Source organism: Homo sapiens, chromosome 2 (assembly GCF_000001405.40).
Source record: "Homo sapiens chromosome 2, GRCh38.p14 Primary Assembly".
Lineage (NCBI taxonomy): Eukaryota > Metazoa > Chordata > Mammalia > Primates > Hominidae > Homo > Homo sapiens.
This window is the reverse complement of record NC_000002.12, coordinates 202,229,190-202,252,463: the sequence shown is the minus strand read 5'-3', so window position 1 is coordinate 202,252,463 and position 23,274 is coordinate 202,229,190. Positions and strand designations below refer to the sequence as shown.

General features: G+C 43.8%; 1 protein-coding gene and 2 pseudogenes across 7 annotated transcripts in view, besides 3 other annotated features; 1 reads left to right on the top strand and 2 right to left on the bottom strand.

Annotated features, from left to right (window-relative positions):
• Positions 1,473-2,204: an enhancer, noted in NCBI's record as "OCT4-NANOG-H3K27ac hESC enhancer chr2:203114983-203115714 (GRCh37/hg19 assembly coordinates)". NCBI's record gives its function as "activates a minimal SCP1, AML or CMV promoter by ChIP-STARR-seq in naive H9 embryonic stem cells {active_cell/tissue: H9 hESC(naive)}" and the evidence as "EXISTENCE:reporter gene assay evidence [ECO:0000049][PMID:30033119]".
• Positions 2,205-2,936: an enhancer, noted in NCBI's record as "OCT4-NANOG-H3K27ac-H3K4me1 hESC enhancer chr2:203114251-203114982 (GRCh37/hg19 assembly coordinates)". NCBI's record gives its function as "activates a minimal SCP1, AML or CMV promoter by ChIP-STARR-seq in naive and primed H9 embryonic stem cells {active_cell/tissue: H9 hESC(naive and primed)}" and the evidence as "EXISTENCE:reporter gene assay evidence [ECO:0000049][PMID:30033119]".
• Positions 12,475-12,961, bottom strand: STMP1P1 (STMP1 pseudogene 1; annotated as a pseudogene).
• SUMO1 (small ubiquitin like modifier 1) overlaps positions 13,867-23,274 on the top strand; it is a 32,427-nt gene continuing 23,019 nt past the window's right edge. For all 7 annotated transcript variants that reach the window (NR_163943.1, NM_001005782.2, NM_001371392.1 and 4 more), the window contains exon 1: positions 13,867-14,024. Coding sequence is in view for 6 of the 7 variants with exons in the window: in NM_001005782.2 (NP_001005782.1) it covers positions 14,013-14,024 (12 nt within the window). In the remaining variant the exon portion in view is untranslated. The remainder of the gene's footprint in view (positions 14,025-23,274) is intronic.
• Positions 14,213-14,402: a silencer, noted in NCBI's record as "silent region_12240". NCBI's record gives its function as "represses an Ori minimal core promoter by ATAC-STARR-seq in GM12878 lymphoblastoid cells {active_cell/tissue: GM12878}" and the evidence as "EXISTENCE:reporter gene assay evidence [ECO:0000049][PMID:35858748]".
• On the bottom strand, positions 20,420-20,816 carry RPL39P14 (ribosomal protein L39 pseudogene 14; annotated as a pseudogene).

Here is a 23,274-nt window from a genome sequence, read left to right as displayed (position 1 = left end):
TGGAGTGTCCCAAAGGTCATACTCCACCATTTTGTCTCTTAATGCACATGCCAGGGAAGTTCCTTCTTTCTGGTGTCTGCATTCAATTAACACTTTAGTACAACAGGTGCAGACCATCAGGAAACGGCCTCTCCCTGGGACCTGCTGCTAATTTATCACTTTTAGAGAGGCAATGTGATAATTGTGAAGTCTGACATTTCTGGTGGGTTAGGAGAGAGCCCTCTCCTACCCTGCTCATGCCTGTCTAACCATCTGTAACAAGTGTAATAGATTCCTATTATTGCCGTAACAAATTACCACAAATTTAATAGCTTAAAACAACACAAATTTATTACCTTACACTTCTAGATGTCATAAGTGTGACATGGGACTCAATGAGCTAAAATAGATGTGTTAACAGGGCATCTAGAGTGGGGAGACTCTAGGACAGGCTCTATTTCCTCAGCTTTTCCAGCTTCTGGAATGTTATAGACTCCCTGAAATTCATATGTTGAAACCCTAATCCCCAATATGATCATATTTGGAGATGGGTTTTTGGGAGACTATTTTGTTTAGATGAGGTCATGAGAGTAGAATTCCCATGATGGGATTAATGCCTTTATAAGAAGAGGAAGAGATCACATGCTCTTCTCTACCATGTGAGGATATAGCAAGAAGGCGGTTGCTTGCAAGCCAAGAAGAAAGTCCTCACCAAGAACCAAATCTGTCAACACCTTGATCTTGGGTTTCCCAGCTGCTAGAACTGTGAGAAATAAACGTCTGTTGTTTAAACCGTCCAGTCTATGGTGTTTTGTTATGGCAGCCTGAACAGACTAAGAGAAGTTTCCTGCATTCCTTGGCTCATGGCCCTACTTCCTTTGTCACAGCTCCTTCTTGGACTCTGACTGCCTTGCCTTCTTTTCCTCTTTCTTTTTTTTTTTTTTTTTTTGAGATGGAGTCTCACTCTGTCGCCACGCTGGAGTGCAATGGTGTGATCTCCGCTCACTGCAACCTCTGCCTCCTGGGTTCAATCAATTTTCCTGTCTCAGCCTCCCCAGTAGCTGAGACTACAGGCGTGCACCACCACATCCAGTTAATTTTTTTTTTTTTAAGTAGAGACGGGGTTTCACCATGTTGGCCAGGATAGTCTCAATCTCCTGACCTCGTGATCTGCCCACATCGCCCTCCCAAAGTGCTGGGATTACAGGCGTGAGCCATCGCGTCCGGCCTCTTCCTCCTTTTTTTTTTTTTTTGAGACGGAGTTTCGCTCTTGTTGCCCAGGCTGGAGTGCAATGGCGGCGATCTCGGCTCAGTGCAACCTCCGCCTCCCGGGTTCAAGCGATTCTCCTGCCTCAGCCTCCCGAGTAGCTGGGATTACAGGCATGCGTTACCACACCCAGCTAATTTTGTATTTTTAGTGGAGACGGGGTTTCTCCATGTTGGCCAGGCTGGTTTCAAACTCCTGACCTCAGGTGATCTGCCCACTTCGGCCTCTCAAAGTGCTGGGATTACAGGCATGAGCCACCGCGCCTGGCTCTTCCTCCTTTTTATAAGAACCTGTGATAACATTTGGCCTACATAGAAAATTCAGCACTCCATGTCAAGATCCTTAATTTAATCCCATCTGCAAAGTCCACTTTGCCATTTAAGGTAACATATTCATTAGTTCTGGGTATTAGGACATGGATATCTTTTGGGGGATATTATTCTACCTACCACAGATTACCACACCACAGATTCACCATAATTGTCAACAAATTGGTTGTTCTTTTTCTTATTGTTTTTTTTTTTTTTTTTTTTTTTTGAGACGGAGTCTTGCTCTCTCCCCCAAGCGGGAGGGTAGTGATGCGGACTTGACTCACTGCAACCTCCGCCTCCCGGGTTCAAGCGATTCTCCTACCTCAGCCTCCTGAGTAGCTGGGATTATAGGCGCATGCCACCATGCCCGACTATTTTTTTGTATTTTTAGTAGAGACGGGATTTCGCTGTATTGGCCAGGCTGGTCTCGAATTCCTGACCTCAAGTGATCCGCTTGCCTCGGCCTCCCAAAGTGCTGAGATTACAGGCAGGAGCCACCGCGCCCGGCCCTGTTCTTTTTCAAAAGAAGAATAATAGTGTTATAGGAGTTATTAAAAAATTATTTTAGGCAGATAGAGAGGAAAAGGGGTCTTTAGGAATTTTTTGTCTCTTTTAAAGCAGCTCCAGAAATGTCTGTTTAGCAGGAAAGCTCTGGCTCTTAGAACCCGCCGGCAACCTTTAATATGCAAATGTAGGCCATTAAAACTGGGTCCACAGGGTAATTCCCACCTCTGTCCTCTTGCCCTTGCCCCCACATGTGCCTGGCAACATGGCCTCCCCCACATAGCCCCACACGTGTAAAACATCTTGGTGCCCTGCATTTGCATATTAAAAGGCTATGCTGGAAGGGTCAGTTTTTACTCGGGCTTTGTAAATAACATGCCTGGTCAAACCAATCCCCTAAGCCCTATGCAAATGAAACACCGCCTCTTCCAGCCTCCTCACATAACTGGCTGTTTTCCGTGGCACTTGGGGTTTCCTCTCTCAGTTTTAAGAGTATTGGCTTGAAGTAAAATTCTATTGTAAAAAAGCCACACCTTAGCTATATATCATTGAGACAGCAGGTGAGTGGTGGGCTGCAATGAACTTGATGTTAGTGGCTGGAAAGATGCTAAGCCATGAAATAGAGTGGCAGTACATTTCACAAAATTGTTGCCTGAGGTTACCTGAGCAGCAGGCCATGTGTCTACTGAGTCATCCATCCTGGAGGAAGGAAATAGAAAGTAGAAACTTAATAGTGATTATTTTTAGCAATGTTTGGCAAGATATTACATGAAAGAGATGAGATCAAGAAAGAATTCCTGGGCCGGGCGCAGTGGTTCAAGCCTGTAATCCCAGCACTTTGAGAGGCTGAGGTGGGTGGATCACGAGGTCAGGAGATCGAGACCATCCTGGCTAACACGGTGAAACCCCGTCTCTACTAAAAATACAAAAAATTGGCCGGGTGTGGTGGCAGGCGCCTGTAGTTCCAGCTACTCAAGAGGCTGAGGCAGGAGAATGGCATGAACCCGGGGGCGGAGCTTGCAGTTAGGCGAGACTGCGCCACTGCACTCCAGCCTGGGCGACAGAGACGCCGTCTCAAAAAAAAAAAAAAAAGAATTCCTGGGTTTGTAAGCAGAAATGAAAGAGAATAGAATAAAAAAGTTGGGGGCCTTGAAAGTAGGAAATGCTGACTGCTTCTAGCCCTAATAGTAAGAAATTAAGAAAAGTTTTATTTTTTCTCTTCCCCTTATTCCTCTCTCTTCTTTTTTCTCTTTCCCTTTCTGAACAATTTAGCTCCAAAGCCATTAGCTAGGGCCGAGCTGACTAAGTGTCAACATGGTGTCACCTGGAGAGGAATGTCAGAGCCTGACTAGTGTGAAGAGGGTGTCCTGTGAAGGGAAGGCCCACCCATGGTGTCAGAACTTGACAAGAGGGAGAACATCCATGTAGACAATTGCCTCGCACAGAATGTTGGAACTTGCATGAAGTGAGGACATCCCCACGATGTGAACTCTGAGAGTCCACCAGTAGAGCTGACCCATTGTGAAAGGGCCTTCACAATACTTACCCAGTGGGATTTCAAAATTGCTGTGGTCCAGTGACCCATGTGCCCTCAATTCTTCCTTGTTCTGAATGAGGACGTTTTTTTCCCAGTTTTCCTGTCTATGTTGCATTATCACGGGTGCATATGGGCAGATGGTCTTTTTAGTTCATAGGTCACCAGATAATAGAAAGCCAGATAATAGAAAGCCATATCTGAGGGGGCCGGGCGTGGTGGCTCATGCTTGTAATCCCAGCACTTTGGGAGGCTGAGGCGGTTGGATCATGAGGTCAGGCGTTCGAGACCAAGCTGGTCACCATGGTCAACATGGTGAAACCCGTATCTACTAAAAATACCAAAATTAGCCAGTTGTGATGGCAGGTGCCTGTGGTCCTATCTACTCGGGAGGCTGAGGCAGGAGAATCACTTGAACCCAGGAGGCAGAAGTTACAGTGAGCTGAGATCATACCACTGCACTCCAGCCTGGGCAACAGAGCAAGACTCTGCCAAAAAAAAAAAAAAGAAACAATATTTGGTAAGAAAAAGGGCAGACTGTGTCTCTCTTTTCCTTTCATTGGGTCGCAAGAAAGACTCACTTAGTTGTGACATTGTGTTTGGATTCTGGCCAATGAGAGAGGGTTGAAGTCAGGCCATTTCCAGGCCTTCCTCATGCTTTTTCTTTCTTCCTTTTTTTCTCATGCTTTCTTTTGACCTCTTGAATGCAAAGAGAATCAGTTCAAGACTCCGAGGACATCCTACAACAGGGATTGGCAAATCATGGCCCATGCATCAAATTTAGCCCACCATCTATTTTTTTGTTTGTTTGTTTGTTTTTGAGACAGAGTCTTGCTCTATCACCCAGGCTGGAGTGCAGTGGTGTGATCTTAGCTCACTGTAACCTCTGCCTCCCGGGTTCAAGCGAGTCTCCTGTCTCAGCCTCTGGAGTAGCTGGGACTACAGGCGCCTGCCACCACGTCCGGCTAATATTCTGGTTTTGTAAATAAAGTTTTATTGGAACACAATAATGCTCATTCAATTACATATTGTCTATGGCTGTGTTCATGCTTCAATAGCAGAATTGAATAGTTGTGACACAAAAGCCTAAAACATTTGCTATCTGTCCCTTTACAAAAAATGTTTGCAGATGCTTGCATGAGAAGATGGTGCCAGCACAAGTTGGTAGGAGACCAACTTGATTCCTTAAATCAGAATATTAAAGGATGCTTACTGGCCAGGCATGGTGGCTCACGTCTGTAATCCCAGCACTTTGGGAGGTCGAGGCGGGCGGATCACGAGGTCAGGAGTTCTAGACCCACCTGGCCAACATGGTGAAACCCTGCCTGTACTAAAAATACAAAAAAATTAGCCAGGCGCGGTAGCGGGTGCCTGTAGTCCCAGCTACTTGGGAGGCTGAGACAGGAGAATGGTGTGAACCCAGGAGGGTTAAAAAAAATAAATAAATAAAAATAAATAAATAAATAAATAAATAAAGGATGCTTACTGAACACCCAAGTCAGACTGTGATGTGAATGACAAATAAAGCTTTACTTTGTGGAGACATTGTGATTTTTTGGTTATTTGTTAGTAGCTAGTTATCTTCTCCCTAAAACACTACTCTCCTCAGTACCTAGACCAGTGTGCCTGGCTAATGGCAGGAGCTAAACAATTATTTGTTAAGCGAATAAATGAATAGAATAGCAGAAATAATACAGCTGGGTGCGGTGGCTCAGGCCTGTAATCCCAGCACTTTGGTAGGCTGAGGTGGGTGGATCATAAGGTCAGGAGTTCGAGACCAGCCTGGCCAACATGGTGAAACCCCATCTCTGCACAGGATTCTATTCTAGGGATGTAGCATAATTTATCTGATTCCCATTAACAGGCATAATTATCTGATTGCCATTAATAGGCACATAATTGTATATAGTTTATTAGCTATCATCAATAATGCTAAAAAGAACATCCTTGAATATATATGTTTATAAATAATTGTGTATTACTGAATAATAAATTCTTAGAAGATAAATTGTCTTGTGTAAAATTTGTTTGTATGTATAAAATTTTGGCAGATGTTTTCAAGTTGCCCTTTAATACAATTGTACTGTTTACACTCCTACCATTCTTGCTTGAGAGTGCCCATTTTTCAAACCTTGACGATTGTATTAGTTTGTTTTCATGCTGCCGATAAAGACATACCCGAGACTGGGCAATTTACAAAGAAAGGGGTTTAATGACTTATAGTTCCACATGGCTAGGGAAGCCTCACAATCATGGTGGAGGGCAAGGAGGAGGAAGCCACATCTTATGTGGATGGCGGCAGGCAAAGAGAGCTTGTGCAGGGAAAGTCCCCCTTATAATTCCATAAGATCTCATGAGACTTACTATCATGAGAACAGCCCAGGCAAGACCCACCCCCATAATTCAGTCATCTCCCACCAGGTCCCTCCCACAACACGTGGGAATTATGGGAGCTACAAGATGAGATTTGGGTGGGGACACAGAGCCAAACCACATCAACGATACTGGGCTTATTTATTCTTTTAATCTTTGCAAAACAGATATGTAAACATTGTATCTCATTTTAATTCGCAATTCTTAGAGATGCTATTATTAGAGATGCTGACCTTCTTTTCATGGGGATGAGTATTAGAATAAAAAATGTAAGAATCAGCTATCTTTTCACACTTGATTACACTTTTTTTAAGTTTTTTTTTTTTTTCCCAAGACAGAGTCCTGCTTTGTCACCCAGGCTAGAATGCGGTGGTGCGATCTTGGCTCACTGCAGTCTCTACCTCCTAGGCTCAGGCAATCCTGCAACCTCAGCCTCCCAAGCAGCTGGGACCACAGGCCTGTGCCACTATGCCTAGTTAATTTTTGCATTTTTTGTAGAGAAAGGGTCTCACTTTGTTGCCCAGGCTGGTCTCGAACTACTGAGCCCAAGCGATCCATCTGCCTCAGCATTCCAAAGTACTGGGATTATAGGTGTGAGCCACTGTGCCCTGATTACGCTTTTTAAGAAGAAAGCAAGTCCACAACTCCTTCAGTTTTTGAGCAAGTGAACCAAGGAAGATTCAGTCTATTCTTAGGAAGTATTACCAGTGTTTGTACCATAGCAAAAGCTAACATTCATTCCTTTAATATAGTGTTTCTTAAGTGACAGTTTTTCTTTTTTTTTTTTTTGAGCCAGAGTTTTGCTCCTGTTGCTCAGGCTGGAGTGCAATGGCGCGATCTTGGCTCACCGCAACCTCCACCTCCTGGGTTCAAGCGATTCTCCTGCCTCAGCCTCCTGAGTAGGTGGGACTACAGGTGCACGCCACCATGCCCAGCTAATTTTTGTGTTTTTAGTAGAGACGGGGTTTCATCATGTTGGCCAAGATGGTCTCGATCTCCTGACCTCGTTATCTGCTTGCCTCAGCCTCCCAAAGTGCTGGGATTACAGGCATGAGCCACCATGCCTGGCCAACAGTTTTTATTTATCCCAAGGTGTCACCATTAAAAAAAAACTTCATGAGGCCAGGCGCGGTGGCTCACACCTGTAATCCCAGCACTTTGGGAGGCCAAGGTGGGGGGATCACGAGGTCAGGAGATCAAGACCATCTTGTCCAACATGGTGAAACCCCGTCTCTACTAAAAATACAAAAATTAACTGGGCATGGTGGCACGTGCCTCTAATCCCAGCTACTAGGGGAACTGAGGCAGGAGGATCGCTTGAACCCGAGAGGCGGAGGTTGCAGTGAGCTAATATCGTGCCACTGCACTCCAGCCTGGCGACACAGTGAGACTCCATCTAAAAACCAACCAACCAACCAACCAATCAACCAACCAACCAACCAACCAAACAAACAAACAAAAAACCCTTTATGAAATCAATGATGCTCAAATCGCTATAATAAATATAATACAGAGAGCTTGGAAATTTGGGAATTTCTGGCCCCTGCCCAGAGAGATTTTGAATCAATAGGTCTAGAGTTGGGCCTGAAGTCTGGCTTTTCAAATACAGAACCCAGGCAATTCTGATTCGTGGGGTCCAAGAATAAAAAATTTGAGAAGCATTAATTTAAAGGATTCTGAGAAATTGTTTTAAAAACAATCTTTAAAAAGATCTAAAGTGAACTTTAATTTTTAAGGTTATGGACTTCCACCTTTAGTAAGGGGACCAGGTAGCTAAGACCAGCCCTATTACTGAGGACAACTAGAAAAGCTGAATAAAATATTTCCTAAAAATTTGCTTGAAGTCATCTAAGCGTTATGAAGGTAGTGAAGAATACCAAGATCTTGGAAAGTGGAAGAATCTAGAGGAGTGAGTTCAAGATCTGTTGTCATTTCCCCATTTGGCATTTGCCAACTATAGTAGAAGTGGCTGGAAGGCTGAGCAGTGCTTTCAACATTTTGTCAGTTCAGGGATACAAGTTAAAAACTAGCTCCAGCCCAGCAATGAGCAAATGAAATTTGAAATTAAAAACATACCATTTACGGCTGGGTGCAGTGGCTCATGCCTGTAATCTCAGCACTTTGGGAGACCGAGGCGGGCAGATCACCTGAGGTCAGGAGTTCGAGACTAGGCTGGCCAACATGGTGAAACCCCGTCTCTACTAAAAATACAAAAAATTAGCCGGGTGTGGAGGTGCACATCTGTGATCCCAGCTACTCGGGAGGCTGAGGCAGGAGAATTGCTTGAACCTGGGAGACGGAGGTTGCAGTGAGCTGAGATTGCGCCACTGCACTCCAGCCTGGGCGACAGAGTGAGACTCTATCTCAAAAACAAACAAACAAACAAAAAAACAAGAAACAACAAAAAAACACCATTTACATTAACATCAACCCCAATGAAATATTTAGGTATAAGTCTAACAAAATATGTTAAAATCTGTATGAAGAAACCTACAAAACTCTGATGAAAAAATCAGTAAAGAGCTAAATAAATGAAGGATTTCTATGTTATGGATAAGAAGGCTCAATGTTGTCAGTTAGATGTCACTTCTTCCCAACTTGATATATAGATTCAGTGCAATCCCAATCAAAATCACAGCATTTAATTTTGTGCATATCAACATATCAATTCTAAAGTTCATATGGAAGCTGGGTGCAGTGGCTCACACCTGTAATTCCAACACTTTGGGAGGCTGAGGTGGGTGGATTGCTTCAGCACAGGGATTTGAGACCAGCCTGGGAAACATGACGAAACCCCGTCGTTACAAATATACCAAAATTAGCTGGTCGTGGTGGCAAGCGCCTGTCATCCCAGCTACTTGGTAGGCTGATGTGGGAGGATGTCTTGAGCCCAGCCAGGAGGCAGAGGTTGCAGTGAACTGTGATTGCAATGCACTGCAGCCTGGGCGACAGAGCCATTTTTTACTTGTCTCAAAAAAATAAGTAAGGGCCTGGTGTGGTTGCTCACACCTGTAATCCCAGCACTTTGGGAGGCCGAGGCAGGCGAATCACTTGAGCCCAGGAGTTCGAGACCAGCCTGGCCAAAATGGTAAAACCCTATCTCTACTAAAAATACAAAAGTTAGCCAGGCATGGTGGGGGGCACCTGTAATCCCAGCTACTCAGGAGGCTGAGGCAGGAGAATTGCTTGAACCCAGGAGGCAGAGGTTACAGTGAGCCGACATTGTGCCACTGCACTCCAGCCTGGGCAACAGAGCGAGACTCCGTCTCAAAAAAAAAAAAAAAATTAAAAAATAAAACCCATAGAATGTCTAACACCAAGAGTGAACTTTGGGTGATAATGATGCATCAGCATAGGTTTATCAATTGTAATAATTTATATTATTCTGGTGTGGGACATTGATAGTGTGGGATGCATGTGTGATATGGGCACTGTACTTCCTGCTAAATTTTGTCGTGAACCTAAAACTGCTCTGAAATCAAAGTCTGTTTAGAAGGAAAAACAGTTGAGTATATCATGTGTAGAACACCCCAAGATTTGGAATGGGACATCTAAGGGTAGACTCTTGAGACTAAGAATGAAACAGAACTGGCATGAATTGAAGCCCAGCTTTGAGAATTCTGGCAGGTAGAAAATCTCAGTCCCTAAAATTGGATTAAGGTGACTCTGGGTTCCTAGTGCCCTAGGACAAAACTCCTCTCTGAAGGAAGAAAATATTGTTATTACAGATTATTTCAGCAAAGTTTCAAACACAGTGCCCAGCACGTAATCAAAGATAATGAGGAGATAATGTGAATGAGAATCAAAAAAAGCAAGTGCCTCCAGGGGCTCTAGAATGATCAGAAACAGGATCTAAAATAACCATGTTAATTATTGTTAAGGTATATAGAGAATGTCAACTGAGAATTTGAATTGTTAACAAGGACATAGCAAATTTGAAAAAGACCAATAGAAATTGTAGGACTGAAAAACTATAATACAGATTAAGAATTATATGGGCCGGGCGTGGTGGCTCAAGCCTGTAATCCCAGGACTTTGGGAGGCCGAGGCGGGTGGATCACGAGGTCAGGAGTTCAAGACCAGCCTGGCCAACATGGTGAAACCCCGCCTCTACTAAAAATACAAAAAAATAATTAGCCAGGTGTGGTGGCACGTGCCTGTAGTCCCAGCTACTCAGGGAGGCTGAGGCAGAGAATTGCTTGAACTTGGGAGGTGGAGGTTGCAGTGAGCCGAGATTGTGCCGCTGCACTCCAGCCAGGGCGACAGAGCGAGAATTTGTCTCAAAAAAAAAAAAAAAAGAACTACTGCTGCTCTAGCTTATTTCAGCTTACTCTCCGACCTTCAATTTAGATGTTATTTATGTATTTATTTTGGAAGCTTTTCCTGACTAACTTGCTTGGATGTAGGCTCCCTTAATAATCCTCTTCACCTATTACTAGCAGCTCTTTTCAAGGCCATTGTATTTTTTTTTAATGTAATGGTTTTACTGAGATAATTAGCTTATACTGCTCACCTCTTTAAAATATATAATTTTTAGTATATTCATATAGCTGTGCAACCATCACCAATCAATTTTAGAGCATTTTCATCACTTCCAAAAGGAACTCTGTACCCATCAGCAGTCACTCTCCATTTTCTCCCTAATCCCTCAGCCCTAGTAGGAGGCTGGAGCAGTAGCTCACTAATGTTGCTTTGAACATTAGTGTACATGTTTTTGTTATATGTTTTATTTTTATTTTTAGAAACAGAGTGTATTAGTCTGTTCTCACATTGCTGTAAAGAGCTGCCTTAGACTGGGTAATTCATGAAGAAAAGAGGTTTAATTGACTCATAGGTCTGCAGGCCTAACCGGAAGCATGACTGGAAGCCCTCAGGAAACTTACAATCATGGACCAAGGCAAAGGGGAAGCTATCACCTTCTTCACACGAGAGCAGGAGAAAAAGACTGTGAAGCGGAAAGTACTACGCACTTTTAAGCAACCAGATCTCGTGAGAAGTCACTCACTATATTGAGAACAGCAAGGGGAAAATCTGTCCCCATTATTCACTCACCTCCCAAGTCCCTCCCCCAACACTGGGAATAACAACTGGACATGAGATTTGAGTGGGGACACAGAGCCAAACCATATCACAGGGTCTCACTATGCTGCCCAGGCTAGAATGCAATCATAGCTCACTGTAATCTTGAACTCTTGGCCTCAAGGTATCCTCCTGCCTTGGCCTCCCAAAGTGCTGGGATTATAGGCATGTGCCACTGAGTCTGGAATGGATATATGTTTTCAATTCTCTCGGGTATATACCTAGGAGTGAAATTTCTGGGTCTTATGGTGACTTTATGTTTTACAATTTTGGGAACTGACAGACAGTTTTTCAAAACTTTTTTTTTTTGAGACAGGGTCTTGCTGTGTTGTCCAGGCTATATAGTGCATTGGCTCACAGGCTTGATCATAGCATAGCACACTGAGGCTTCCACCTCGTGGCCTCAAGGGATCCTTCTGCCTCAGCCTCCCAAGTAGCTAGGACTATAGGCCAGTGCCACCATGCCTAGCCTAAAGCATTTTATATTCCTACTAACAGGGTATAAGGGTTCTAATTTCTCCATAGCCTTGTCAACACTTGTTATTTTCTGTCTTTTTGAACATAGCCCTTCTAGTGGGTATAAAGTGGTATCTCCTTGTTTTTTTTTTTTTTTTTTTTTTGAGACTGAGTCTCGCTCTGTCACCCAGTAACAAGCTGGAGTGCAATGGTGTGATCTCAGCTCACTGCAGCCTCCTCCGCTTCCCAGGTTCAAGCGATTCTCCTGCCTCAGTCTCCCGAGTAACTGGGATTACAGGCCTGAGCCACCAAGCCTGGCTAGCTTTTGCATTTTTAGTAGAGATGGGGTTTCACCATATTGGCCAGCCTGGTCTCCAACTCCTGATCTCAAGTGATCTGCCCGTCTTGGCCTCCCAAAGTGCTGGGATTACAGGTGTGAAGCACCACGCCTGATTGTTTTTTTTTTTTGAGACAAGGTCTTACTCTGTTGCCCAGGCTGGAGTGGAGTGGGATGATCTTGGCACACTGCAACATGTTGCCCAGGCTGGTCTTGAACTCCTGGGCTCAAGAGATCTGCCCACCTGGGCCTCCCAAAGTGCTGGGATTACAGGTGTGAGCCACGGTGCCCGGCCTCCTTGTGTGTGTGTTTTTTGGTTTTTTTTTTTGAGATGGTGACCAAAAAAACACAACAACAAACAACAAACAAAAAACAAAACGAAGTCATTCTTTTGCATGTGAATGTCCAGCAGTGGTAGTACCAACTGTTGAAAAGACTGTTCTTTCACCATTGATTTGTCTTGGTGTTTTTGTTGATGTAAATGTGAGGGTTATTGATTTATTTCAGGATTCTCAATTCTATTTGTTTATATTCTTATCCTCCATGAGTATGCCCGTAGGGCCACTGTGTATGCCAGTAGGGCCATTGTGTTTTACAGAAGAAATCTAAGAAGAATCATTCTTTTTTTTTTTTCCATTAAAAGTCATGTTTACTAATCTAGCACCACAATTCGTCTTAGAACCTCCCATGCAGTTGGAAAGGGAATATGGGAAGAGGTGAGTATGTTGGAAATGTAGGGTAGTTCTCAAATTGAGGCCCCATTTTGCTTGCTCTAAAGCCAAAAACACAGGGTCTAGCAAAGAGGAGCCCAGAGGCTGGAGATGAAAACAAAAGCTTTTGGTTCAGATGGTAAAGGAGGCCCTCAAGAGCAGTAGAATCAGTATATCCCGAAGGCAGTGCTGGAGGCATTCTCATGAAGTAGGGGGTTTCTTCTTGGCATCCAAGTCCTTTTTAATTTCTTCAAGTTTTTTAGCCAGGTTTGGTATGTCATAGTTCTGAGCCAGATACATTCCAACCACGTTGCCCAATGTAAATCCAAGCAGGAATTGGAGCATGATGTTGGTGGGGAGGGCGAGGAGGGCGCAAAGGGCTGCTGCAGCTCTGCAGGCCGGTCAGAGCCTGCTTCCCCATGCGAGGGGAGCGGAATCGCCCCCCCCGCCACCTTTTTTTTTTTGAGAGGGAGTTTCACTCTTGTCGCCCAGGCTGCAGTGCAATGGCGCGGATCTCGGCTCACTGCAACCTCCGCCTCCCGGGTTCAAGCGATTCTCCAGCCTCAGCCTCCCTAGTAGCTGGGATTATAGGCGCCAGCCACCACGCCCGGCTAATTTTTGTTATTTTTAGTAGAGACGTGGTTTCACCGTGTTGGCCAGGCTGGTCTCGAACTCCTGATCTCAGGTGATCCGCCCGCCTCGGCCTCCCAAAGTGCTGGGATTATAGGCGTGAGCCACAGCGCCCTGCCAAGAAGAATCATTCTTTAACCTTAACTCAAAGCAACCAATTCAAGGGTTGGAATTACTCACTCCCCATTTAGAACTTTCAGCAGCGGTCTTTAGCATCAGTAGCCGTCAAGATTGTGTTGGGTCGTTGCTTTCTTGTTGTTTTAAATCACGGTCATGTGTTTGGCAAGGGTGCTGGTTAACCGAAAATGTTGGTTCTAGAGCTAGAAGTACTGGCATTCAAATAAACATATTTGGGGGTTGGGGGTTGATGAGCAAGGCTGGGAGGAGACAAAAGAAGTATCTCGGCTCAGTCGTCAGAGACGCGCAAGGTGTAACGGAGAGAGCAATCTAGGTTGTGAGAGTGGCTCCAAACATTGAGACATGGAGCCAGGACCTTTGCTCCTGGGGGATGGCCCTAGTACTGATGCGCAGGACCTGGTCCTTGAAGGAGCTGACAAAACTGCCGTTCACCCGCGCGACCACCGGCAAAGCAGCTCCACAGCCTGCCCCTCCCCTTGGCTGCTCCCCCACCCATTTCCCGCCTTGTCTTTCCTCTCTTCTCTCTCTCCCTCCTCCCTGCGCGAAGCGGAAGTGACGCGAGGCGTAGCGGAAGTTACTGCAGCCGCGGTGTTGTGCTGTGGGGAAGGGAGAAGGATTTGTAAACCCCGGAGCGAGGTTCTGCTTACCCGAGGCCGCTGCTGTGCGGAGACCCCCGGGTGAAGCCACCGTCATCATGTCTGACCAGGTACCGGGCTGGGAGCCATCCAACGGCGGTGGCCAGGGCCTTCCCTGCAGGTCTGCCTGCCGCTAGGCTGGGGTCGGGGATGGAGGCGCGGGGGAGGGGAGCGCGGAATGGGGGAGGGGGCGGCCGGTGGGGACTAGGCAGGCGAGGGAGAGGAGCCGACTACGGCCGGAGGTGCCGGGGCCTGCTGCGGGGCTCCCGGAGCCGCCCGCCCCTCTCCGGGCTCGCTCATCACCCCCGTACCCCACCGCCTTTGGTGGCGGCCTCCCTCATGTCGTCCCACTTCTTTCTCCCGGGTCGACTAGGTGCAGAGCCCCGCTTCCACCTCCCTGGGAGGGTCTCTGGAGAACCCGTCCGTCTCCTTCCAGAGGACTAATCGCAGAAGCAGGGCCCTAGGCCTTAGTTATGTAACGGGAGAGAATCCCTGACTGGGAGGCTCCGTGGCCCTGAGAAGCGGCTGGACTCTCCACTTTTTGCTTCTTCGTCGGGAGGGCGTGGGGCGGCGAGGGAGGGAGACGTCCGATGTTGTTGGGAATCCTGCCTCCGTTCGGATTGGAGCTAGGGCAAGGATGCCGCTGCTCTCCTCTGAGTCTTTTTCCGTGTGGGGGTGCAGAGCTGTCGCCTCTTTACTGTACTTTCCCGTTTCTTACTCGGGATTGGTTCATCCTAGCTCTCCAGTTGTAAGAGAGCATTCATAATAACCAAGAAAGAAAATAGAACTAAACTGCTAGAGCAACAAAAAGCATCTCACCTGGGCATTAACCTGAGGAAGTCTCATATTTTTGAGGAAAAGCATAGGAAAACTTTGTGTATGTAGAGTCGTTGCAGAATATTTGCAGAAAGTTGCCTGGTAAGGCAAAGTGCTCCAGCTCACTGTTAGTATCAATAATTTACTTGGGATTTGCACTTAATCAGGAGTGATCGATTTCCCCTTTTCTTCCTCATCCTGTTCTAATTAAACAACTTTATGGCTAGTTTTTAATTCATAAAGTTTTTGTCTGGTCTTTTGTTTGCTCAGACGACTTTGACTTTTTTTTTTTTTTGAGACGGAGTCTCGCTGTGTCGCCAGGCTGGAGTGCAGTGGTGCGATCTCCACTCACTGCACCCTCCCGCCTCCTGGGTTCAAGCAATTTTCGGGCCTCAGCCTCCCGAGTAGCTGGGATTACAGGCACTCACCACCAGGCACTCACCACCACACCTAGCTAATTTTTGTATTTTTAGTAGAGACGGGGTTTCACCATATTGGCCAGGCTGGTCTCGATCTCCTTACCTCGTGATCCGCCCACCTCGGCCTCCCAAAGTGCTGGGATTACGGGCGTGAGCCACCGCGCCCAGCCGACTTTGACTTTTTACATTATTTTTGGACTTTTACTCATTTAATGGTAGTTATTCAGAAAACTATTTTTCATTCAACTCCACGATGTACTTGAACTTTTAAATTTAACACACCTATTCCCTTGGCTTTTAACCCAGTTTTGTACCATTTCGTGAGAGCAAGTGAGGTTTTTGCAGATTGGTACTATTGTACAAAATGTACACTTAACATTTTAAAGCTTAACCATAATCTAGATGAATTTTGGATGGATCTACTTACTAATAATCTAGATTAATTCCCAAGTGGGCATTGTGTTTCCCTAGGTAGTTGTTTACTTGGTTACTAGGAAGAAAAGTATAGGCGTAAATGCTTAGTTTCGTCAGCCTTTTATTTTGTTTCCCAGAAGCGTCTAGGAAGCATTTTGAAATTTATTGTAGACTGATGGAAGAGCAACATAAAGAAATAATTATAAAATGTAGAATTTATTGCTCCATTTTGAAGTCAGGTTATTTAAGAGATACATAAAGAAATGAAGGACCTAGGATACAAATAGATTCTTTTATTTCATGTTCATACTAGGACATTATTTGTCTTTTTCACTGTCATTCTTTCATGAGTGTTCAATGGACGTTTCTAGAAACTAACATGACTTGTGATAAAACAAATTAAATGTGGAAGCAGATGTGAAAATCCAGCTGTTTAGCTGTTTTTATTAAGCCAGACATTAAAGAGATTTGCAAAAATGTGTAACAGTCCCACTCTTTCATTAATTTTGTTTTGAAAAATATTTTTAATAAAAATATATATTTGTTAACATATAACAGGTTTGTTGGTATTTTAAAATGAATTAATATTTAAGACATTTCTCAGTTTTCAGTGTTTAATACTGTAAACATCAATAGATGTAACCAACCTAACAAAAGCTTTATGGGATTCTAAATAAATTTAAGTGTAAGATTCCTGAGAACAAAAAGTTTGAGAACTGTTGCTGTAGGCTGATTGACCAACATCATTAGGACTCGCCGGGTGCAGTGGCTTAAGCCTGTAATCCCAGCACTTTGGGAGGTCAAGTTGGGTGGATCACGAGGTCAGGAGTTCTAGACCAGCCTGACTAACATGGTGAAACCCCGTCTCTACTAAAAATACAAAAAATAGCCAGGCGTGGTGGTGCGCACCTGTAATCCCAGCTACTCAGAAGGCTGAGGCAGGAGAACTGCTTAAACCCGGGAGGCGGAGGTTGCAGTAACTGGAGATCACTCCACTGCACTCCAGCCTGGGCGACAGAGTGAGACTCCGTTTAAAAAAAAAAAAAAGACTCAGTACATTGGCCGGGTGCAGCGCCTCACACCTGTAATCCTGGCACTTTGGGAGGCCTAAGTGGGGGAGGATTGCTTGAGCCCAGTTTGAGACCAGCCTGGGCAATATAGAGAGACGTCGTCTCTACAAAAAATAAAATTAGCCAGGCATGATGGCCTGTACCTGTAGTCCCAGCTACTCAGGAGGTTGATATGGGAGGATCACCTGAGCCTGCGAGGTCGAGGTTGCAGCAAGCCAAGATCATGCCACTGTACTTCAGCCTGGGCGATAGAGACCCTGACTCAAAACAAAGAAGACCCAGTACAAGTTCAGTGTTGAGTGCTAAAGACTTAAAAGAGTTATAAAGCTGAACCCTTAATCTTAAGAGGTTTATAAGTGAGAACAAGAATCTCCAAATCCTGTACTGTTTAATATCAGCATGAGACTAAACCACTGTCCTAAGAAGACAACCTTAATTTGAATCAAGTTATTTTAGAGTGATGTGTTTTCTGAGGCAGCTCTCAGAAGGTTATTGTCTGGTGTTAAAATAGTGAAATTGAGTAATAACAAGGTTAAAATCGGTGGACATTAAATACACACAAGACTTCAATTGCTGGGTCCTCCATTGATTAATGAAAAAATGATTGTTTTTGGAATTTGAGTGAAACACTTCTTAATGGCTGAGTAGGGTGGCTTACGCCTGTAATCCCACCACTTTGGGATCACTTGAGGCCAGGACTTTGAGACCAGCTTGGCCAACATGAGGAAAGCACGTCTTTACTAAAAATACAAAAATTAGCTGGGCCTGGTGGCTCATGCCTGTAATCCCAGCTACTTGGGAGTCTGAGGCGAGAGGATCGCTTGAGCTTGGGAGGTGGAGGTTGCAGTGAGCGGAGATCATGCCACTGCATTCCAGCCTGGGCGACAGAGCAAGACTCTGTCCCAAAAAAAAAAAAAAAAAAAAAAGAAAAGGAAAAAAAACAAAAAACTTTTTTTTTTTTTTTTTTTTGAGACGGAGTCACAAAAAATTAGCCACCATGCCCAGCTAATTTTTTTGTATTTTTGGTAGAGACAGGGTTTCACCATATTGGCCAGGCTGTCTCGAACTCCTGACCTTGTGATCCGCCCGCCTCGGCCTCCCAAAGTGCTGGGATTACAGGCGTGAGGTGCCGTGCCTGGCAAAAAAAAAAAAAACACAAAAAAACCCACTTCTTTATAATTTTAACAATTCCAACATCATCTAGTAGATTTGTGTACCATTATTAAATAATCCTTTAAAATAAGTTCTAAACCTAAGGCCCATAGACCATAAAGACTGAAAGTTCGCTTACATTGTATGGAGTGTTTTGTGAGTATTTGTGCATACGTATTTTTTTTTTTTTAAGATAGAGCATTGCTCAATTGCCCAGGCTGGAGTACAGTGTGGTGTGATCTCGGTTACTGCAACCTCTGCCTCCTGGGTTCAAGTGATTCTCCTGCCTCAGCCTCCCTAGTAGCTGGGATTATAGACACATGACACCATACCTGGCTAATTTTTGTATTTTTTGTAGAGATGGGGTTTCATCAGGCTGGTCTCGAACTCCTGACCTCAGGTGATCTGCCCGTCTTGGCCTCCCAAAGTGCTGGGTTTACAGACGTGAGCCCAGCCATATATATATATTTTTTTTAAATAGGAGAAAGGACCCATAGTCTCATCAGGGGTACGTGATTCCTCAAAATGGTTAAGGACCATCCTTTAACCAGTAACAGAAATCTGATTGGGTGCTTTCCTTTAGCCCAGTCTCACCTTGTAGCAAAACAAAGTGCTCGTACAGAACCCGAAGCTTAATATCAAAAGGATAAGGGTAATTTGTACAAATATTTTCCCCTTCCTCCTTTCTGATATTTGAGTTTATAGTGTTTCTTTTTTATACCAAAATCATTAAAGGTAGCTTGGTCAGCTCTTCAATTCAAGTCTGTTAATTGTAGCAATTGGATGACTGTTCCACTCTAACTGAATCTGTATTAACACCCCCAAAGAGAGATTGAATGATTTCCTTTTATCTTTAGTCAAGGATTTGGAAGCATTGTGTAATTCTGATTATCTGATACATTACCTCAAAATTTTGTGACTTAAAACAACAGCCATTTATTTTGTTTATAAATCTGCAATTTGGACAGGGCTCTGTGGATTAGACTCACCTCTGCTTCTTGGTGTGTGGGGCCTCAGCTGAGATGACTCAAGTGGCTGGGGGCTGGAACAGCTAGTTGTCAGGTGAGATGAGACTGGATGGGGCAAGTGTCTCCATATAGTCTCAGAGCCTTTCTTAGTGGTTTCATCATGTGATGTCAGCATGGAGACCCCAGGGTATTCAGACTTACGGCTCAGGGATCACAGAGAGAATAGGTGTTCCAAGAGAACCTGGGTGGAAATAGCAAGTCTCCTACAACCTAGCCTTGGAAGTCACGTCTGTAATTCTGTTGCCCACTCAAATCACTAAGGTCAGCCAGATTCAAGGGAAAGGCATTTATTTAGACACTGTTTCTCAATGGGAGAGTAACAAAGAATTTGCAGTTATCTTTAATCTACATTAATTGTATTTTTGCTGCCATGATAGTATTATTCCCTGCAGTGTTCTATATAGCTCCCTGCTATTGATTTTTACTGATTTTAGAAATTCTTTGCTTGAGATAGCAGGAGAATATGATGAACTGGTTGTGTATTAAAATTCATAATTGTGTGTACTACTATTTATATCATAGAATAGATATGTTAAACTGTAGTTATTACTTGAGTATGTAGTTAAGCATTTCATGCCCTAGGAGAAGAAGAATACTGTGTCCGCTCTGATAGACATGAGGTCCTGCTAGTGGATGTTACAAATGTATAGATTGTAGCATTATCTAAACAAACTTTACTAGTAGTTTAAAAATTGAATATGAATGTTATGATTACTCATTAAGATTTAGTAGTTCAGATTTAAAAACTATTAAGTAGTTGTCAACTCATGACATCCTTTAGTCCCGAAGGCAGTTAGGGTATCTCTTTCATAATTTTTACATGTAATGTTACAGTTATTTACGTTCCTTTTTTTTTTTTTTTTTTGAGATGGAGTCTTGCTCTGTGGCCCAGGCTGGAGTGCAGTGGCATGATCTCGGCTCACTGCAACCTCTGCCTCCTGGTTCAAGTGATTCTCCTGCCTCAGCGCCTCGAGTAGCTGGGATTACAGATGTGTGTCACCACGCCTGGCTAGTTTTTATATTTTTAGTAGTGATGGGCTTTCCCCATGTTGGCCAGGTTGGTCTTGAACTCCTGACTTCAAGTCATCCACCTGCCTCGGCCTCCCAGAGTGCTGGGATTACAGGTGTGAGCCACCGCGTTGCCAGTTATTTACATTCTAAGTGTCTTTTCTCCATTACATCAGGCTTTATTTATCCTCTTTTTCCTGTAATGCTTAGCACATTGAGTGGATAATTAGTAAAAAATTTTTTAAAGGAGAGTGGCCAGATTCATTCAACAAATGTTTATTAAATGTCACAATGTTCACAGCATGATTCTAGGCCCTAGAATTGGAAGGTCGCCTCAAAAACATGAAACAGCAGGTACCTTCCTCCTCCTCTTTCAGTCCTCTTGATGTTGTTTTGTTATTGAGGCAGGGCTGGTTGCCATGGAATAGTTTTTCTCTTATGATATTTTTGCATACCTTCTTCATCTTTACTTCTGTTAGCAATAGACCTGGTAACTATATCCAAAGTTGAATCATTTACTTCTTCCAGGACACTGGGATTGTTAAGGATGATTTTTTTTTTAAAAAATGAAAGGTCTCACATATTTATTACTGAACCTAGCCAACCAACACGTTCATAACAGATTCAGAGAAAAAAATATATTCCCAATAAAACATGTCCAACTCTCTAGATAGTGGTGACATTTTCAGCTCGATATGGTAACATGATTGTGACCTTCAGACAGCATAAGTATGTTGTATCATGCAATGCCTTATAGACCCAGCTTGGTTCTTCTCCAATGGCTCCTTTTGGAGTTTTACCTGATTTTATTACCAGTTTTCATCCGAATCCACTGGGGAATGGGTCAATTTTGCTTTTGTTTCTTGGCCAGGAATCACTTAACCCTGAAAGTCTTGTGAGAAGACATGGCGAGAAGTGGAGTCAAGCACACACCATGATGGCAGATAAAGGAAGAGAGGCCGATAATCTTTTTTTTTTGAGACGGAGTCTCGCTCTGTCACCCAGTCTGGAGTGCAGTGGTGCCATCTCGACTCGCTGCAACCTCCGCCTCCCAGGTTCAAGTGAGTCTCCCTCCTCAGCCTCCCAAGTAGCTGGGATTACAGGCACCTGCAATCATGCTCAACTAATTTTTGATCTTTGTAGAGATGGGATTTCACCATGTTGGCTAGGCTGGTCCTGAACTCTTGACCTCAGGTGATCCGCCTGCCTTGGCCTTGCAAAATGCAGGGATTACAGGCATGAGCCACGGTGCCTGGCCCAGTTAATTTTTTATTAAGACATCTTTAGCATTCCATTTTGGAATTCCCTGAAGTTGTGATTTAAAAAAGTATATATATATAATGCTGATATTCTACTTAATTAATTTAATTAATTAATTTTTTTTGAGACAGTTTCGCTCTTGTTGCCTAGGTTGGAATGCGATGGCGCCATCTTGGCTCACCACAACCTCTGCCGCCTGGGTTCAAGCGATTCTCCTGCCACAGCCTCCCGAGTAGCTGGGATTACAGGCATGTGCCACCATGCCCAGCTAATTTTTTTTTTTTTTTTGAGACAGAGTCCTAGCTGGAGCGCAATGGCGTGATCTCTGCTCACTGCAACCTCTGCCTCCTGGGTTCAAGCATTTCTCCTGCCTCAGCCTCCTGAGTAGCTGGGATTACAGGCACGCACCACCACGCCTGGCTAAGTTTTTTTATTTTTAGTAGAGACGGGGTTTCACTGCGTTAGCCAGGATGGTCTTGATCTCCTGACTTAGTGATCCGCCTGCCTCGGCCTCCCAAAGTGCTGGGATTACAGGCGTGAGCCACTGCGCCCGGCTAATTTCATTTTTTTTTTTTTTTTTTTTTTTAAGTAAAGATGGGGCTTCTCCATGTTGGTCAGGCCGGTCTCGAACTCCCGACCTCAGGTGATCTGACTGCCTTGGCCTCCCAAAGTGCTGGGATTACAGGCATGAGCCACTGCGCCATCCCGGCTGATATTCTGTTTCTTTTTAAAAGAGTCATGGGGAAAAGTTCACACAGATACTGTTATTGAGCACCTTAGTTTTACAGTTTAAAATCTGGATAATTCCTGCAACGTGACTATGTTTACTTAAAGATACGTTGTATCGGTTATATTTTTTGGCTATTTTTGCATTCAGTTGCCTTTTCTGAGCTAATGAGGATCTGAAGGAAAAGACCTGAAGGAAGGAAGGAAGGGTGGAGTTTTGTTTGCTGGGCTGGTTGTTCTCAATATCTAGGGCCAGTTATTTTTAAAGGTTTTACCAAAGAGTAATATACATACAAAAAAGTGCACAAGAGTGTTTGGTTTGCCGAACTTTCACAAACTGAACACATCCATGCAACCAGCACTCAGATGAAGAACTGCTGTATTGACTTAACAAGTAGAATAGTTTTGTCTGTTTTTATACAGCATAACATTTTATAAGTGAAATCATACAGTATGTATCTCTGTGTGTTGGTTCTTTTGCCCGGCACTGTTTAGAGGTTTGTTCATTATTATTGTATATAGTTGTATGTTATTACATCTCATTGCTGTGTGGCTTTCCATTGTGTGGAATGCAGTACACTCAATTTACTTATTCATTCTGCTTTTGATGCCCATTGAGGAATTTTCTAGCACCTGTTTTTAATATGAGCCAAACTTATACCTTTTATAGCACCTTCTATTTCAGGATTACTTTTGGGCTGAATAACAGAAAGTTTGATTTATTGTAGGTTAAACAATTTTTTTTTTCTCATAAAACAAGAAATGTAGACAAAAGTAGCTCAAGGCTGATGTGGTAGCTCCACAGTTCCTTCATATTATTTTCTTCTCCATCCTTAACAGCAGTCTTTCACTCTGGTGCTTGTCTACTTGTGGGCACAAAAAAGCTACTTTGTGTTCCAGACAGGAGAAAAGGGAAAAAGTATGTTCACTTTATATCTCTTTGGCCAAAATGGGTATAAAAGAAGCTGGGAAATACGTTTTTTATCTGGGTAAATTTAGGTTTCCCTTTGTAAGGAAGAAAGGGAAAATAGATACCAGATAGGTAATTAACAATGTCTGTCATACTTCCAAGTCTGTTTGCTAGTACTTTTGGATGCAATCAAACTGGTTTGTTCTAGGCTTAGCATAGGTCTAGACTCAAAGGGTAAGGTTTACACAACCAGTAAAATTTTTAGTTATAGTTTTGAGTTCCTGAGAAGCTATCTGTGCATGACTAGTGTTTAACTACCATTCAGGGTTGAATGTAAATATTCAGAGGCCCATTGTGTTGACAGCTTTGACCTAAACCTTGAAGTTATACAGTTAAATCTGGTCAGTTCTGTTCTAAATCTCTAGTACCGTCTTACTAAGTTTGAACATATGCATCATGAAGATGAAAATATACATATATTTTTGTGTTTTTAGAATCGTGGGCCCAGTGCAGTGGCT